The sequence below is a fragment of the Homo sapiens genome, chromosome 11 (assembly GCF_000001405.40).
Source record: "Homo sapiens chromosome 11, GRCh38.p14 Primary Assembly".
Taxonomy (NCBI): domain Eukaryota; kingdom Metazoa; phylum Chordata; class Mammalia; order Primates; family Hominidae; genus Homo; species Homo sapiens.
This window is the reverse complement of record NC_000011.10, coordinates 78044049-78061708: the sequence shown is the minus strand read 5'-3', so window position 1 is coordinate 78061708 and position 17660 is coordinate 78044049. Positions and strand designations below refer to the sequence as shown.

Sequence of the window (17660 nt, the reverse complement as noted above, 5' to 3'; positions counted from 1 at the left end):
CAGTGAACTGTGATGGCACCACTGCACTCTGGCCTGGGTGACACAGCAAGACCCTGTCTCGAAAAAAAAAGAAAAAGAAAAAAATATTCTACTTCCCTATAACCCCTCCCCTTTAAATTGTAATATTTACCCCACCCAGAGTTACTGGCCTTAACTATGCTTATGTTGGCACAGCAGAGTGGTGTGCCAACTCAGTTTCCACAGGGGCCCTGAGACAGAAAAACATAAGTATCCCAAGATAAAACTGAGACAAAACTGAGACTCAGAAAGGGAGAGGTACTTGCCCAAGGTCTCATAGCTCGGACATGACAGGAGTAGGCCTGCCCTAGTTCCATCAGACCTGAGAGGAAAGCAGTGATCTTCCCTCTTGTCAAGTCCCCTTGGCAGGCTGGCCATGCATAGCCACAGATGACCTGAAGTCACCCTGTGTTGACAGTTGGCCTTGCTTCTCCAGGGCAGAACAGGCAGCCAAATCCAGGTCTGGGCCAGCTGCAGAGGGCAAAGCTTCCACCTTAACCCTCTGTGTACTGCAAGTGGTGGAGGGAAACAGAGAGCACCAGCCTCCCTGAGCCTCGACATCCTCATATGTTGTAATAATGATAAGGGCAAACAATAACTGAAGACATATTATTCTAAGCTAAGTTATATATGCAAAGTTCTTTTTTTTTAACCTTGAGCTTTTTTTTTTTTTTTTTTTTTTTTTTGAGACAGGGTGTCACTCTGTCGCTCAGGCTGGAGTGCAGTGGCATGATCTTGGCTCATTGCAACCTCCGTCTCCTGGGTTTAAGTTAGTCTCCTGCCTCAGCCTCCCGAGTAGCTGGGGCTACAGGTGCCCTCCACCACACCTGGATAATTTTTGTATTTTTAGTGGAGATGGGCTTTCACCATGATGGCCAGTGCTGGGATTACAGGTGTGAGCCACCGCGCCCGGCAATATACAAAGTTCTTAGAGCAGAACAACAATTGTATGTGGTAGGTAGACCCCATTTACAGATGAGGAAACTGAGACCTGAGACGGTAAAGCAATAAGCCAAGGAACACACATTATTCCTTCCTTGGCAAAGAGGAGTTGAAATGTGTCCTGACTCTTCCCTACGGGTGTGATGGGGTGAGAGATGATATTTATGAAATGCCTAGGAGACTGCGGGACTCAATAAGCAGACACTGAGCCAGGCGCGGTGGCTCACGCCTGTAATCCCAAGCACTTTAGGAGGCCGAGGTGGGTGGATCACCTGATGTCAGGAGTTCGACACCAGCTGGCCAACATGGTGAAACCCTGTTTCTACTAAAAATACAAAAAATTAGCCTGGCGTGGTGGTGGGTGCCTGTAATCCCAGCTACTCGGGAGGCTGAGCAGGAGAATTGCTTGAGCCCAGGAGGTGGAGGTTGCAGTGAGCCTAGATCGCACTACTGCACTCCCGCCTGGGCAACAGAGCAAGATTCCATCTCAACAACAACAACAACAACAAAAAATAAAATAAAATAATAAAATAAGCAGGCACTGCCTTCTTTCTAGCAGATTCTGCCTTCTGACTCTGCTCCCTGCATTCCTCATTTATTTCTCCATGCCTGGACTTGCCACTCTACATTTCATCACTGCAAATGCTCAGTAACTATTGGCTGTATGATGACCATTAGATTTACTAGTTTTTTTTTTTTTTGAGACAGGGTCTGGCTCTGTCACCCAGGCTGGAGTGCAGTGGCATGATTATGGCTCACTGCAATCTCCACTTTCTGGGCCCACGCAATCCTCCCACCTCAACCTCCCAGATAACTGTGACCACAAATAGCCATCACATCTGGCCAGGTTTTTTTTGTTTTTTTTGAGACGGAGTCTCACCTGTCACCCAGGCTGGAGTGTGGTGGCGCGATCTCGGCTCACTGCAACCTCCACCTCCTGGGTTCAAGTGATTCTCCTGCCTCAGTCTCCCAAGTAGCTGGGATTACAGGCGAACGCCACCACACATGGCTAATTTTTGTATTTTTAGTGGAGATGGGGTTTCACCATATTGGTCAGGCTGGTCTTGAACTCCTGATCTTGTGATCTGCCTGCCTCGGCCTCCCAAAGTGCTGGGATTACAGGCATGAGCCACCACACCCAGCCTAGTTTTTTAAAAATTATTATTTTTGCAGAGACTGGGTCTCCCTATGTTGCCCATGTTGGTCTCAAACTCCTGAGCTCAAACCATCCTCCCACCTTGGCCTCCCGAAGTGCACTGCAGTGGATTACAGGCCTGAGCCATTGCACTCAGCCTAGATTCAATTCCTAGTACATTCTAGGTTCTTTGTTTATAATGTCCAGTCACCTCAAAAAGCAGGTTCCCAGGCCGGACGTGGTAGCTCACGCCTGTAATCCCAGCACTTTGGGAGGCCGAGGCGGGTGGATCATAGAGATCAGGAGTTCAAGACCAGCCTGGCCAACATGATGAAACCCTGTCTCCACTAAAAATACAAAAAAATTAGCTGGGCATGGTGGCACATGCCTGTAGTCCCAGCTACTTGGGAGGCTGAGGTGGGAGAATCGCTTGAACGCGGGAGGCCGAGGTTGCAGTGAGCAGAGATCAAGCCACTGCACTCCAGCCTGGGTGACAGAGCAAGACTCTGTTTCAAAAGAAAGAAAAGAAAAAGAAAAATAGTTACCCTGGCTTGGAGGGAGGCGGCAGTGAGGCCTCTGGTGTGGCAAGGGACCATGTGGCCACCCAGGAGTTGTATATAATGACAGGTGTTCAAAAATACCTCACAGGCCTGACTATAAGGTGACGTTCTTTTCTAGAATTATTACTTAAGAAAGAAAAGATGGTGCCATACTCACATCCTGACAATATTCATTATACAGGGTGCTTTTCCTCTACTTTACTGTGAGCAAGACATAACAATCCAACATTACCTCAATCAAGCAGCAGAATGAAGAATTTGCATAAAACTGTTTCCTAACCTACAAATGGAAAAGAGTAATTTTTCTAAATTAATGTATTAGGTTAAATAATGTAACCTGGCCAGGCATGGTGGCTCATGCCTGTAAGCCCAGCACTTTGGGAGGCCAAGGCAGGTGGATTGTTTGAGTCCAGGAGTTTGAGACCAACATGGGCAACATGGCAAAACCCCATCTCTACAAAAAATAAAAAAAAACTAGCCAGGTGTGGTGGCAAGCGTCTGTGGTCTCAGCTACCTGGGAGGCTGAGGTGGAAGGATCGCTTGGACCCAGAAGGTGGAGGCTGCAGTGAGCCACGAGCATGCCACTGCACTCCAGCCTAGGTGACAGAGGGAGACCCTGTTTCAAACACAAAAAAAATTTGGTTTTTTTTTTTGAGACAGAGTCTTGGCTCACTGCAACCTCTGCCTCCCGGGTTCAAGCAATTCTTCTGCCACAGCCTCCCAAGTAACTGGGATTACAGGCATGCACCACCACACCTGGCTAATTTTTGTATTTTTAGTAGAGACGGGGTTTCACCATGTTGGCCAGCTGGTCTCAAACTCCTGACCTCAGGTGATCCGCCCACCTCGGCCTCCCAAAGTGCTGGATTACAAGCGTGAGCCACTGCGCCCAGCCTGATTTATTCATTTTTAGCCCTCTAACACTTTTGTTTTGTTTTTCTCTAATCTTTATTTGGGGAAAAATTTGTTGAATTTTTTCTCCTCAAGAAACTGGGGTTTCCACTTTGGAGGCCAACGTGGGAAGATCACTTGAAGCAGGAGTTTGAGACCAGCCTGGGCAACACAGCAAGACCCCATCTCTATTTTTAAAAAAGGTGGGGGCTTCCCTGGTATTCGAACATCCAGGATTGGTGAGCAGTGGGCACAGGCAAAGACCACAAGGCTGGAGACTGTAACTGGGTTCTGGTGCTGCCTCCGGGCCACCTGCAAGCAGGCTCCCTGGGCTCTAGCATCCACGCTGTCAAACGAGGAGTTTGGAGATTTCTGCACGAAGGCTCTTCCAGCCCCGATTTTGTAACTCTTGTATCCAGGTCCAGGTCCCTACGGGCATTACTCTCTGCCTTAATTCTTGCATTTTGGACTTAGCCTCAGGGTCACCAACTCAGAACTGGAAAACATGATCCATGCGTGGACAGGGCTGGGAGCACTGACTCCAGTGTGGTGGGCAGGCCAGGGTGCCCCAAGAGTAGCTGCCTCCTGCTTCTGTTGCCCAGTGGTGTGGAGCAGACCTGGGCCCCCTGGGCCTCATTGACCCCATCTAGATAACCAAGAGGGCGACCTTTGTTAATTCCTCTCTAGCTCAGACTTTGGGAAACTCCTGAGTGCAGCGTCCTTGTGCCTTTCCGTGTTATTCTGCATGTGTGTGTGTGGTTTTTTTTTTTTTTTTTTTTGAGACAGAGTCTTGCTGTGTCACCTAGGCTGCAGTGCAGTGGTGTGATCTTGGCTCACTGCAGCCTCCTGGGTTCACGTGATTCTCTGCCCCAGCCTCCCGACTAGCTGCAATTATGGTACCCACCACCACATGTGGCTATTTTTTTTTTTTTTTTGAGACAGAGTCTCACTCTGTCGCCCAGGCTGGAGTGCAGTGGCGTGATCTCGGCTCACTGCAAGCTCCACCTCCCGGGTTCACGCCATTCTCCTGCCTCAGCCTCTGGAGCAGCTGGGACTATAGGCGCCCGCCACCACGCCCAGCTAATTTTTTTTATTTTTTTTAGTAGAGACAGGGTTTCACCGTGCTAGCCAGAATGGTCTCAATCTCCTGACCTCGTGATCCGCCCACCTCGGCCTCCTAAAGTGTTGGGATTATAGGCGTGAGCCACTGCGCCTGGGCATTTTATTTTATTTTTTTGAGATGGAGTCTTGCTCTGTTGCCCAGGTTGGAGTGCAGTGTCGTGATCTCGGCTCATTGCAATTCCACCTCCCAGGTTCAAGTGATTCTCCTACCTCACCCTCCCGAGTAGCTAGGATTACAGGCGAGCACCACCATGCCTGGCTAATTTTTGTATTTTCAGTACAGACAGGGTCTCACCATGTTGGGCAGGCTGGTCTTGAACTCCTGAACTCAAATGATCCACCTGCCTCGGCCTCCTAAAGTGCTGGGATTACAGGCGTGAGCCACCACACCCAGCCTTAATTTTTATATTTTTAGTAGACACGGGGTTTCGCCATGTTGGCCAGGCTGGTCTCAAATTCCTGGCCTCAAGTGATCTGCCTGCTTCACCTTCCCAAAGTGCTAGGATTACAGGCATGAGCCCCTGTGCCTGGCTATGTGTGTATTTTAACCCCTTTTGAGGCAAGTCTATTCCCAGACATGTTCTTGGCCTTGAACTGGAGGGAATGACAGAAAGAGGAAGGGAGAACATGAGTGTGTTGGTGGAAAAGGGAGAGAGTGAATGAATTAGTATAGTAATTTGGTGAAAAAAAGAGCTGTGGGCAGAGCACATGAGGAGGCCTCCCTCCGTCATTCCCTCCCTCCCAGCAGGCTATGCACCCAGGCTGCCTCCATGTCTCCCTGGCAGACAGAAGGTCCAGATAAAATGCTGCTAGCCACGTGTCAGATTAGAAGACAGAAGGAGTGTTCTACGGGGACAGGCATAGATGCAGACAAGTTATAGGAGTAGAGGGTGGCAGGGTCTCTTTAAGAGATATAGTGGGACAGTGGTTCCACAGGGACTCAGTTCTTCCTGCTCAAAAATGCCACATCCAAGGGTTGACAGGTTATCTGGTCCACTCAAGCCATTGCAGATAGAAAATTCCAGCAAAGGGTCAGGGTGCAGTGGTTTATGCCTGTAATCCCAGCACTTTGGGAGGCCAAGGCAGGTAGATCACTTGAGGCCAAAAGTTCGAGACCAGCCTGGCCAACATGGCAAAACCTCCTCTCTACTAAAAATACAAAAATTAGGCTGAGGTAAGTGGATCACCTAAGGTCAGGAGCTTGAGACCAGCCTGGCCAACATGGTGAAACCCCGTCTCTACTAAAAATATAAAAAATTACCTGGGCATGGTGGCGGGCGCCTGTAATCCCAGCTATTTGGGAGGCTGAGGCAGGAGAATTGCTTGAACCTAGGAGGCAGAGTTTGCAGTGAGCCGAGATGGCGCCACTGTACTCCAGCCTGGGCATGACAGAGCGAGACTCTGTCTCAAAAAAAAAAAAAAAAATTAGCTGGGTGTTGTGGTGCCACCTGTAATCCCAGCTACTCAGGAGGCTGAGGTGGGAGGATTGCTTGAACCCAGGAGGTGAAGGTTGCAGTGAGCCAAGACTGCACCACTGCACTCCAGCCTGGGTGACAGATCAAGACCCTGTCTCAGAAAAAAAAAAAAAAAGAAAGAAAGAAAAGAAAAGAAAATTCCAGCAAAGAAGGGAAGGGAAGTAACAGAAGGGAAGTAGCCTGGACTAGACCTCAGGCTTCATTCAGTTTCTTAAGTCTTCCCTCCCGCCCTCTTGCAGGGAAACTGAGGCTGAATGAGGTGCTTACTAGAATGGGTTTGGCAGCGTTGCCTATGGCCTCACCCCCAGAGTATCTGGATGATCTGGATGCCCCAAGCTGGGCAAACTGAACTGGCCGCAGATGGACTGGGGTCAACGCTCTCAAGGGACAGGCTGGGAACAGTGTGGGAATGTGGTGCAAGGGGCAAGATGAACAAGTGGTGCCTGAGGCTGCCAAATCCTAAGTAACCCTGGCTGGGCTTGACCCCAGGAAGCTACAGAATGAATTCAGCCAAGGTTGGGAAAAGCTTCCAAGTTTAACAAGTGATTTAAAAAAATTTTTTTGAGACAGAGTCTTGCTCTGTTGCACAGGCTGGAGTGCAGTGATGTGATCTCAGCTCACTGCAACCTCCGCCACCTGGGTTCAAGAGATTCTCCTACCTCAGCCTCCCAAGTAGCAGGGACTACAGGCACCCACCACCACGCCTGGCTAATTTTTTGTATGTTTTGTAGATATAGGGTTTCACCATGTTGCCCAGGCTGGTCTTGAACTCCTGAGCTCAAGTGATTCTCCTGCCTGGGAGACAATTTCATAAATGTAGCCAATAAAATATCTTTTTTTTTATTTTTGAGACAGAGTCTCACTCTGTTGCCCAGGCTGGAGTGCAGTGGTGCGATCTTGGCTCACTGCAACCTCCGCCTCCTGGGTTCAAGCAATTCTCATGCCTCAGCCTCCCTAGTAGCTGGGATTACAGGCATTCACCACCATGCTCGGCTAAAGTTTGTGTTTTTAGTAGAGATGGAGTTTCGCCATATTGGCCAGGCTCGTCTCGAACTCCTAACCTCAGGTGATCTGCCCACCTTGGCCTCCCAAAGCTGGGATTACAGGCATGAGCCACCATGCCTGGCCTAAAAAATGATTTATATATATACACACATCACCTGATAGCTATGGGCTTCAGGCTGTTTTTCTTTGCCTTGTCACACCAGTCCAGAACTACTGGGGTCAAGCATCAGGAGCTGGCCAGGTGCCGTGGCTCACACCTGTAATCTCAGACTTTGGGAGGCTGAGGCGGGAGGACTGCTTGAGCCCAAGAGTTTGAGACCAGCCTGAGCAATATAGTGAGACCTTGTCTCTTAAAAAAAAATAATTTTATATATATGTATTTTTATATATATATAATACACATATAATTTATATATATAATACATATATAAGCTATATTATACATATATTATATATATTTAAAGATTTTTAAAGAATCAGGGGCTGGCTGGGTGCACGCCTATAATCCAAGTACTTTGGGAGACTGAGGCAGGAGCACTGCTTCAGCCCAGGAGTTTGAGACCAGCTTGGGCAATATAGGCAAGACCTCCTTTCTACAAAAAATAAACACAATTTGCCAGGTGTGGTGCACATGCCTGTAGTCCCACCTGTTTGGGAGGCTGGAGCGGGAGGATCACTTGAGTCTGGGAGGTTGAGACTGCTGTGAGCTATGATCACGCCACTGCACTCAGCCTGGGCGACAGTGTGAGACTTTGTCTCTTAAGAAAAAAAAGAACAAGCTGGATGCGGTGGCTTACGCCTGTCATCCCAGCACTTTAGGAGGCCGAGGCGGGCAGATCACCTGAGGTCGGGAGTTCGCGACCAACATGGAGAAACCCCGTCTCTACTAAAAATACAAAATTAGCTGGGCGTGGTGGCGCATGCCTGTAATCCCAGCTACTCGGGAGGCTGAGGCAGAAGAATCGCCTGAACCTGGGAGGCCGAGGTTGCAGTGAGCCGAGATCGTGCCATTACACTCCAGCCTTGGCAACAAGAGCGAAACTCCATCTCAAAAAAAAAAAAAGAGAAGAAAAACAGGAGCCTTATTTTCATGATCTGCCCCACTCCTGTCCCCAGGCACTCAACCCCTGTTGTGTGCTTCAACCCTCTGCTTTGTCCCTCAGGGGAGTTCTTGTATTGGGAGCCCACTATGTGCCAACACTCTGCTGGGCCTGGGGATATAACAGGACATGAGGTAGGCATGGTCCCTGCACTCAGGGCAGCTTATAACTAGTTGGAAGAGAGCAATGACCAACAATGCACAGATCAATATGGTTAACATCACATTGTGACTTGTACTAGGAAGAAAATAAGGTAACGAGGCCAGGTGCAGTGGCTCACACCCAGCACAGGTGGATCACTTGAGGTCAGGAGTTCGAGACCAGCCCGGTCAACATGGTGAAACCCCATCTCTACTAAAAATACACACACAAAAAAAATTAGCTGTGCATCGTGGTGGGCGCCTGGAATCCCAGCTACTCGGGAGGCTGAGGCAGGGGAATCACTTGAACCCGGTAGAGGTTACAATGAGCTGAGATTGCACCACTGCACTCCAGCCTGGGCGACAGAGCAAGACTCCATCTCAAAAAAAAAAAAAAAAGAAGAAGAAGAAGAAAAGAAGGTAACAAACCTTACTACTCACTGTTATCTGCAGACCAGCCCCATCCATCAAGTTACCCCAGAGCTCATCATGAATGCAGATTCTCAGGCCCCAGCCAGGACCTACTGAATTGGAACTGCATTTCAACAAGATCCTCTGAAGATGCCCAATTCCAAACATGGTTATTATGCCCAGGAAGAAGAAACAGCTGTGCTAAGACCTGAATGTTCTCAGCTTTTGGAAGATCTGCTATCCAGGTAGAGGGAAGAGCAAGTGCTACTGATCACAAAATATTCTCCTTAAAGATACAACTGGCCAGCACAGTGGCTCACGCCTGTAATCCCAACACTTTGAGAGGCTGAGGCGGGCAGATCACTTGAGGCCAGGAGTTCAAGACCAGCCTGGCCAACATGGTGAAACCCCGTCTCTACTAAAAATCCAAAAATTAGCCTGGCATGGTGGCACGCACCTGTAATCCCAGTTACTTGGGAGGCTGAGGCAAGAGAATTGCTTGAACCAGGGAGGCAGAGGTTGCAGTGAGTTGAGATCGCACCACTGAATTCCAGCCTGGGCAACAGAGTGAGACTCCATCTCAAAAAACAAAACAAAACAAAACAAAAAAAAACTGGCCGGCACAGTGGCTCACGCCTGTAATCTCAGCACTTTGGGAGGCCAAGGCAGGAGGATTGCTTGAGCCCAGGAGTTTGAGACCAGCCTGGGCAACATAGTGAGACTTTGCCTCTACAAAAAAAAAATTTGAGCCAGGCGCAGTGGCTTATGCCTGTAATCCCAACACTTTGAGAGGCTGAGGCAGGTGGATCACTTGAGTCCAGGAGTTCAAGACGAGCCTGCGCAACATGGTGAAACCCTGTCTCTACAAAAAATACAAAAATTAACTGAGGGTGGAGGTGCATGCCTGTAGTCCCAGCTACTTGGGAGGCTGAAGTAGGAGAATTGCTTGAGCCCGGGAGGTGGAGGCTGCAGTGAGCTGAGATTGCACTACTGCACTCCAGCCTGGGCGACAGAGCAAGACTTGTCTCAAATAATAATAATAATAATAAAATAAAAATTAGCCTGGCATGGTGGCACTCGCCTGTAGTCTCAGCTACCCAGGAACCTGAGGTGGGAGGATTGCTTGAGCCCAGGAGGTTGAGGCTTCAGTGAGTCATGATTTTGCCACTGCATTCCAGCCTGGATGACAGAGTGAAACCTTGTCTCAAAAAAATAAATAAAAAATAAAAGGACAGAACTAACTTGGACATGATCTTAAGCAAGTCAGTCTGCCTTTGTAGGCCTCAGTCTCCTATCTGGAAAGTGCAGGATCTTCCAAGCTGAAAAAACACAGTTCCTCTGAATGGAGGGTTTTGAGGCATGATGAGCCAAACAACCAGCTAAGGAAAGCTATTTATTTGAGGGAGTGGTGGGGCCCCTTCTCTGGAGTCCTTAAGTCATGCTAAGAGGCCCAGACCTTTCCTGCTTACTCTGGAATATCTCTGCTGTTCGGAGAATCTGCTGCGAACTCTACTGTTACAAAGGCACCTTATGAAGGGCTGACCAGAGTGGACCAGGAGCAGGGGCAGGTCTTCCCGTCCAGCCCCACCCCCAACTTCCCCCCTGTCACACCCCTCCCCCAGTTCTGGGAAAACACAGCCCTTCCTCTAGCTGATGCAACTAGCCCTGGGGGCCAGCCTAAGGCCTTCTAGGTTTGCTGAGAGGTAGAGAGAGGGGCGATGTCAACAAAGCACCCCCTCATCAGCCAATCTCAAATGTCTGAGTTGTCAGAACTCCAAGGCTCCACAGTAATCCAGCAACCCAACCCCTACAATTCACCAATGAGGAAACTGAGACTCCAACTTATATTTCCAGTCATGCTTTGTTCCTTCCCCTGGGAGGACTTCTTCCCGGCCTTCCCATTCTTCCTGGCCTTCTGGGGCTCCAGCCCTCAATCCACAGGTATCATGTACTATAAGGCTTTGGACTCCAAAATTCTGCGACTAGACTCATACCAAAACATGTCTCTCTCTCTCTTTCCTATCTGGGAGCCCCTGGAGGGCAAGAACCAGGTCTTATTTTTATTTTTTTTTAGAGACAGGGGTCTCGCTATGCTGTCTGGGTTGGTCTTGAACTCTTGATCTCAAGCAATCCTCCCGCCTCGGCCTCCCAAAGTGCTAGGATTACAGGAGTGAGCCACTGTGCTCAGCCTAAGAACCAAGCCTTGACTCTTCATTTTGACTACTATACCCAAGGAGCTTAGGAAAGTGTCCTTAGTTTGCTGACTGAAAGGATGAATGAATGAAGACTGTGGGGTCTGTCTACCCGTGGTGTGCTTCTCTCCTGCCTCCATTTTCTCAACCAATAGATTTTTGCTGAGTTTTCCCCAAGGAAGTGCTGGCCACAGAGGGCGCTCAGCAGGGAGGCTGCCATTGCCAACCCCTGGACTCCAGCAAGCTCAGCTACCTCCTTCTGCCACGGCCAGGCCCTGTCAGAGGAGCTCCGGAGTCTCCCTCCCTCGGGCCAGCTCTTGGTCTGCCTACAGTGCTGGCCCCCAGTCTGGGACCCAGGCCAGAGTCCAGGAAGTGTTTGAGGACCCACTCCCCGCTCTGCACAGGTGCTGCGAGGGGGCTTTGCTAGAGAAGGAGGAGACATGCGTCAAGATCCACGAGTTCATCCACAAAACTCAGCCAGTGAACGCCATTCTTCCCGGCCTTCTGAGGTTCCAGCTCTGAATCCACCTGCTGCCATCCTTTGGGGGTGTCTTCCCCTTTTCCCCTTTCCAGCCAGGTTCACAGTGACGGGCTCCCATTCTGGCATCTCCATGATGCCTCCCTTCACAACCAATCCTTCTGCAGTACAAGAAGAACCCCCCATCCATCCCTCACTCAAACACCTTCCGTGACTGTTACAGTAGATAGCTGGTCAGACATGAGCAGGGCAGGAGAGGCCCCACCTCTCAACCAGGAAAGTCAGGTGACCATCAGGTGAGGGTCAAGTGGTTGTTAAGCTGTTACGCTAAAATAATAATTGGTTGCATCTGGCATCAGGGACCGGCAGTCTCCCAGTAGATAAGAAAAACCTGAAACTGGTAATAAGATCTCAGGAACTGGGCAAGTAGGCCCCCACATGCATACTAAGAGGCAAAATGGTGGAGTTTAACTGGTAAATGACCTCCTAGGGACGTTTGACTGGTAAGGGAAGAATGCCTTGAGTGAGCAGTGCACAACTCCAGGAAACACACTGCGCATGCTCCCCTCCCAAGCACTAGCAGGCCTCTGCACATGCCGGTAGCCAGCCCCAAGGGAAGAATAGGGGGAGAAGGGACACAAGACCCCAGAAGTTTGCCAATGTATAAATCCCCAAGTCAAAAGGTTAAACAGTGCACTTGGCTTGGCTTTCAAGTCATTGGCTTGACCCTCTTCCAAGTGTACTTTCTTTTTTTTTTTTTTTTTTTTTTGCAACAGAGTTTCGCTCTGTCACCCAGGCTGGAGTACAGTGGCACGATCTCGGCTCACTGCAACCTCTGCCTCCTAGGTTCAGGCGATTATCCTGCCTCAGCCTCCCGAGTAGCTGGGATTACAGGCACATGCCACCACACCCGGTTGATTTTTGTGTTTTTATTAGAGACTGGGTTTCACTATGTTGGCCAGGTTGGTCTTGAACTCCTAACCTCACGTGATCTACCCGCTTCAGCCTCCCAAAGTGCTGGGATTACAGGCGTGAGCAACCACACTCAGCCCCAAGTGTACTTTCTTTCCTTTCCTGCTCTAAAGCTTTTAATAAACTTTCACTCCTGCTCTAAGACTTGTCTCGGTTTCTCCTTCTGCCTTATGTGCCTCAGTCGAATTCTTTCTGCTGAGGAGGCAAGAACTGAGGTTGCGGCAGACCCATACGGATTCGCTGCCGGTCACGCTCCTTGTATTAATTTTGTATTGCTGTTGTAACAGATGAACACAAACCTAGGGGCTTAAAGCAACAGACACTTATTACCTTATAATCCTGGAGGTCAGAAGTCCAACATGGGTCTCACCAGCGTAAAATCAAGGGGTCAGCAGGGCTGCCCTCCTTTCTGGAGGCTCTGGGGAGAATTCGTTCCTTGTCTTTTCTGGCTCCTAGAGGCTGCCCGCACTCTTTGGCTTGTAATCTTTTCCTCTGTGTTCAAAGCCAGGAACACCTTTTCATGCTGCCTCTCTGGTTCTCCCTCTTCCAGTTACATTGGGTACTGCTGGATAATTCAGGATAATCTTTCCATCTTAAGGTCAGCTGATTAGCAATCTTAACTCCATCTGCCCCCTTAATTTCCCTTTGCCATGTAACCTAACATTTACAGGTTCAGGAATTAGGAAGGTGGCATCTTTGGGGGCCATTATTGTGCCTATTACACTCATCCCTTTCAATTTTGTTTTTATATGCCATGGTATTTTTTTTCTTTCTTTTTTGAGATGAAGTCTCGCGATGTTGCCTAGGCCGGTCTCGAGCTCCAAGGCTCAAACCATCCTCCCACTTCAGCTTCCTCATTAGCTCAGACTGCAGGCGCCTGTTACATTGCTTTGGTGCCTTGTATTTTTGTTTTGTTTTTATTTTATTATTTTATTTTTTTGTTTGTTTTTGGTTTTGAAACGGAGTCTCACTCTGTCGCCCAGGCTGGAGTGCAGTGGTGCAATCTCAGCTCACTGCAACCTCTGCCTCCTAGGTTCAAGTGATTCTCCTGCCTCAGCCTCCCGAGTAGCTAGGATTACAGGCGTGAGCCATCACACCCAGCTAATTTTTGTATTTTTAGTAGAGACGGGGTTTCACCATGTTGGTCAGGCTGGTCTGGAACTCCTGACCTCAGGTGATCTGCCTGCCTCGGCCTCCCAAAGTGTTGGGATTATAGTCATGAGCCACTGCACCTGGCCTGTTTTGTTTTTTTTGAGTCAAGATCTCACTCTGTCACCCAGGCTGGAGTACAGTGGCATAATCACGGCTTGCTGTAGCCTCAACTTCCCAGGCTCAAAGGATTCTCCCACCTCAGCCTTCCCGAGTAGCTGGGACTACCGGCATGTGCCACCAAGTCCAGCTAATTTTTTTATTTCTTGTAGAGACAAGAAATATAATTTGGCTGGGCACAGTGGCTCACGCCTGTAATCCCAGCACTTTGGGAGGCCGAGGCAGGTGGATCATGAGGTCAGAAGATCGAGACCATCCTGGCTAACATCGTGAAACCCCGTCTCTACTAAAAATACAAAAAATTAGCCAGGTGTGGTGGCAGGCGCCTGTAGTCTTAGCTACTCGGGAGGTTGAGGCAGGAGAATGGCGTGAACCCAGGAGGCGGAGCTTGCAGTGAGCTGAGATTGTGCCACTGCACTCCAGCCTGGGCAACAGAGCGAGACTCTGTCTCAAAAAAAAAAAAAAAAAAAGAAATATAAGTTTCGTCACATTGTCCAGGCTGGTCTTGAACTCCTGGCCTCAAGTGATGCCCCTACCTCAGCCTCCAAAAGTGCTAGGATTACAGCCATGAGCCACCGTGCCTGGCCAGGATATAGTATATTTAATAAAATATATACCTATTAAAATTTTTCTGGCTGGGTATGGTGGGCTGTAATCCTAGCACTTTGGGAGGCCTGGGTAGGAGGATTGCTTGAGGCCACGAGTCTGACACCAAGATGGGTGACATAGTGAGAGGCCCCATCTCTACTAAAAAATATTTTTGCAACCTGGGCAGCATAAAGAGACCCCATCTCTACAAAAAATTTAAGTTAGCTGGGTGTGGTGGCATGCGCCTATGGTCCCAGCTACTCAAGAGGCTGAGGCAGGAGGATTGCTTGTGCCCAGGAGGTCAAGGCTGCAGTTAGCCGTGATCATTGCCACAGCACTCCAGCCTGGGCTACAGAGCAATGCGCTGTCTCAAAAAAACCCCCAAAATTATGATTTCATGTATCTGTATATTCTTTATACCTACACAGGTAGTAAACACAAACTTAAACGTTGGAATGAAAAAGCAAATTGAAGGAGCCATCTGGGTGGAGGGAGGGGAAAAAAGGAAGCGTACATGAGTACTTTATATTCATTAGGTCTTATTTCCCAAGCTTAGTAATGGCTACATGAATATTTATATATTCATCATCTAATATTTTTGAATAGATTAAGTACTTATAACAACAGAAAAGGAAAAGTGAGAAATGTTTTCTAGGAATAAATGCAAGCCTCAGCAAAAGTTCAGAGGCATGAAATAGCAAGATACATACATACATATATACTGATGATTCTCCAGCATGCCTGCACTCTCTCCCAAACTCCACCATAACTTCCAAATCTTTGCTCACCTCTTCCTAACCTCGCCCCCTTAAGTCCAGCCTCAGCCCCCGCGCTGACATTTTCGCCAGATCAGCCCCCTTCCCCTTTAGGATAGGCTCTCCTCTCATTGCAAGGTGCGCCTCTTATCGTGGGTGGCTCAATCCATGCATGTATGCCTGTCCCCAAAGAACTGCAAACTCTGGGAAGGTTGGACTCCCAGCCCCAGGCTCAGGGCTCCGGTTCAGGCGGGGCCCCCGCCGTCGCGGCTCCGGCCAGCAGAGGGCGCTGCCGGGCAGGCCCAGGCCTGGAGTGGCGGGGACCCTGGCCTCCCGCCAACACGCGAGCTTTCCGGCTCACAATTGTCAAATCCTCTCATCTTTCCAAGACACCCTCACCACATAGACAGCGTCGATGTTCTGTAGCTGGTTTACTAAAGGGGCTTGACTTAGCAGGGAAAAGCACTGAGCCGATCTCTTTCTTTCCTGCTCCTGCCCTTGCGAACTGATTCTGTGGACTCCTTTTTTGCTGTTTCTGGGGGAAATCTCGGCAGATCACTCGCTTTTCTCGGAGTCCTCCCCGGTTTACTGTCAGGTAATTCCAGCTTGTGTCTAAGTGCAGGCCATTATTCTGGCAAACGCTCCCCTCCTGAGGCTGCCTCTAACTGGGACACCTGCTGACTGGGGAGAGGACCGGCAGCCTCCCTGCGTCCTCACCCAGCTCTTCTGCTCCTCCTGCCCCTACACAGGCTGCCTCGGACTCTTCCTGGGTGGGGTGGGGGAGAAGCGGTAGGGGCAGCAACGTCTGAGGAGGACCTGAGTACTCTGGGCTTTTGGGAGCACTTTGACGGGCGTTATGAAAACCCTCACATCTCTCCTCAGTAGTACCCTTATAAAGAGGGGCTGTCTCCCCCAGGGCTGCTTATGAAACTGCCTTTGAAAAAACTATAACAGTGAGAAAATTAGGGCCGCAAAAGACATCTGATCTAACCAACCCTCATCTTGCCTTTAACCTCCAAACTGCCTTTGGTCACTCCTGGGTTTAGGCCAAGCTAACTTTGGAAGACATTTAGTTTATAGTTTAAATGATAGCAGCCCTTCTCCAAAACTCAACTGCCTTTGTAAAGCTAATGAAAGACCAACCAGGTCAGGAGGATGTTGAGCCTGAGTTCTGCTAAGGTGCAGACATAAACGATTGCCAACCATTATTCCAGAGGCAGAGGGAAGATATGCAACTTCCCCAATTACTCCTGCAGATAACATCACTATCGTAGAACCTAAGACTGGTACTTTGGGAGGCCAAGGCAGGCAATTGCTTGAGCTCAGGAGTTCAAGACCACTCTGGGCAACATGGCAAACCTTGTCTCTACAAAAAATACAAAAAAATTAGCTGGGCGTGGTGACATGTGTTGGTAGTCCCAGCTACTTGAGGGCGGAGGCAAGAGGATTGCTTGAGCCTGGGAGGTCAAGGCTGCAGTGGGCTGTGTTTGTGCCATTGCCCTCCAGCCTGGGTGACAAAGTGAGACCCTGTCTCAAAAAAAGATCTCAGGAGTTGGGTGAGTGGGCTTGAGCATTCACACCTACGAGGCAAAATGGCACAGCTTAACTTGTGTGTGACCTTCCTCTAGGAACACTTGACTGGTAAGAGAAAAATGCCTGAAATGAGCATGTGAACAATTTCAGTAAACATACTACACATGCGGGCCCCTCCCAAGTGCTGGCAGGCCACTGTGCATGTGGACAGCCCACACCAAGGAAATATCAAGGGAGGGGAGGCGCAAAACCCCGGAAGCATGCCAAGGTGTAAAGCTCCAAGTCCAATGTCAAACCGGACAAGGATCTCTCAAGTCACCTGCTTGGTCCTCTTCCAAGTGTACTTTACTTCCTTTTGTTCCTGCTCTAAAACTTTTTAATAAACTTTCACTCCTGCTCTAAAACTTGCCTTGGTCACTCCCTCTGCCTTATGCCCCTCCGACTAATTCTTTCCTCTGAGGAGGCAAGAATGGAGGTTACTACAGACCCGTACAGATTCACTACTGCTAACAATTTGAGAAATAACTCCGTCTCCTGTGCGGCATGGCTGGCCTTGTGGCAATTAAACTATATCTTTATTACAATGCTGCGTGGTCTCAGTGAATTGGTTTTGTCTGTGCAGTGGGCGGAAGAACCTACTGGGGGTTATACTCACTTACTGCCCCTCAGCTACTACAACCCTCCTCACACCTCCAGTCTCATTCTGCCGGAGTCCCCTCACCCCTAGATAGAAGCTCTCTTCCACCAGGTCCTTTTCAGGAAGATTTTTCTGCGGGGTCCACATGTGGGTCACAGGAAGCACACAGCTGGCAGTGCAGCCCCTTCCTAGCAGCCCCTCCACACCCTGCTAGGTGCCAGGCAGATTCCAGACCCCAGAGTCTCCACCTCCAAGACTCCCCAGATAGTTCTCCTAAAGCCTCGCTCACCTGGTTAGAGGTGAGGGAGAGCAGCGCCCTCTACTCCCTGTTTTGGGGTGTGGGCTGGGGAACAGGCTGAGGGAGCACGTTGACAACTCTGTCCAGAGAAATTTCCCCTCCAGCTTCTGGGGATGTCGCCTCTCTTTGTGGTCAGGAA

At 49.3% G+C, this 17660-nt stretch overlaps 2 protein-coding genes across 4 annotated transcripts in view, besides 1 other annotated feature; both read left to right on the top strand.

Moving 5' to 3' along the window:
• The window catches only part of NDUFC2-KCTD14 (NDUFC2-KCTD14 readthrough), a 64148-nt gene that overhangs the window by 18154 nt on the left and 28334 nt on the right, over positions 1–17660 (top strand). The gene's annotated exons all lie outside the window — the stretch shown is intronic.
• Positions 15231–15470: a silencer, noted in NCBI's record as "silent region_3807". NCBI's record gives its function as "represses an Ori minimal core promoter by ATAC-STARR-seq in GM12878 lymphoblastoid cells {active_cell/tissue: GM12878}" and the evidence as "EXISTENCE:reporter gene assay evidence [ECO:0000049][PMID:35858748]".
• The window catches only part of KCTD14 (potassium channel tetramerization domain containing 14), a 30477-nt gene continuing 28334 nt past the window's right edge, over positions 15518–17660 (top strand). Inside the window, exon 1 of the mRNA NM_001282406.2 lies at positions 15518–15648. The gene's annotated coding sequence lies outside the window, so the exon portion shown is untranslated. The remainder of the gene's footprint in view (positions 15649–17660) is intronic.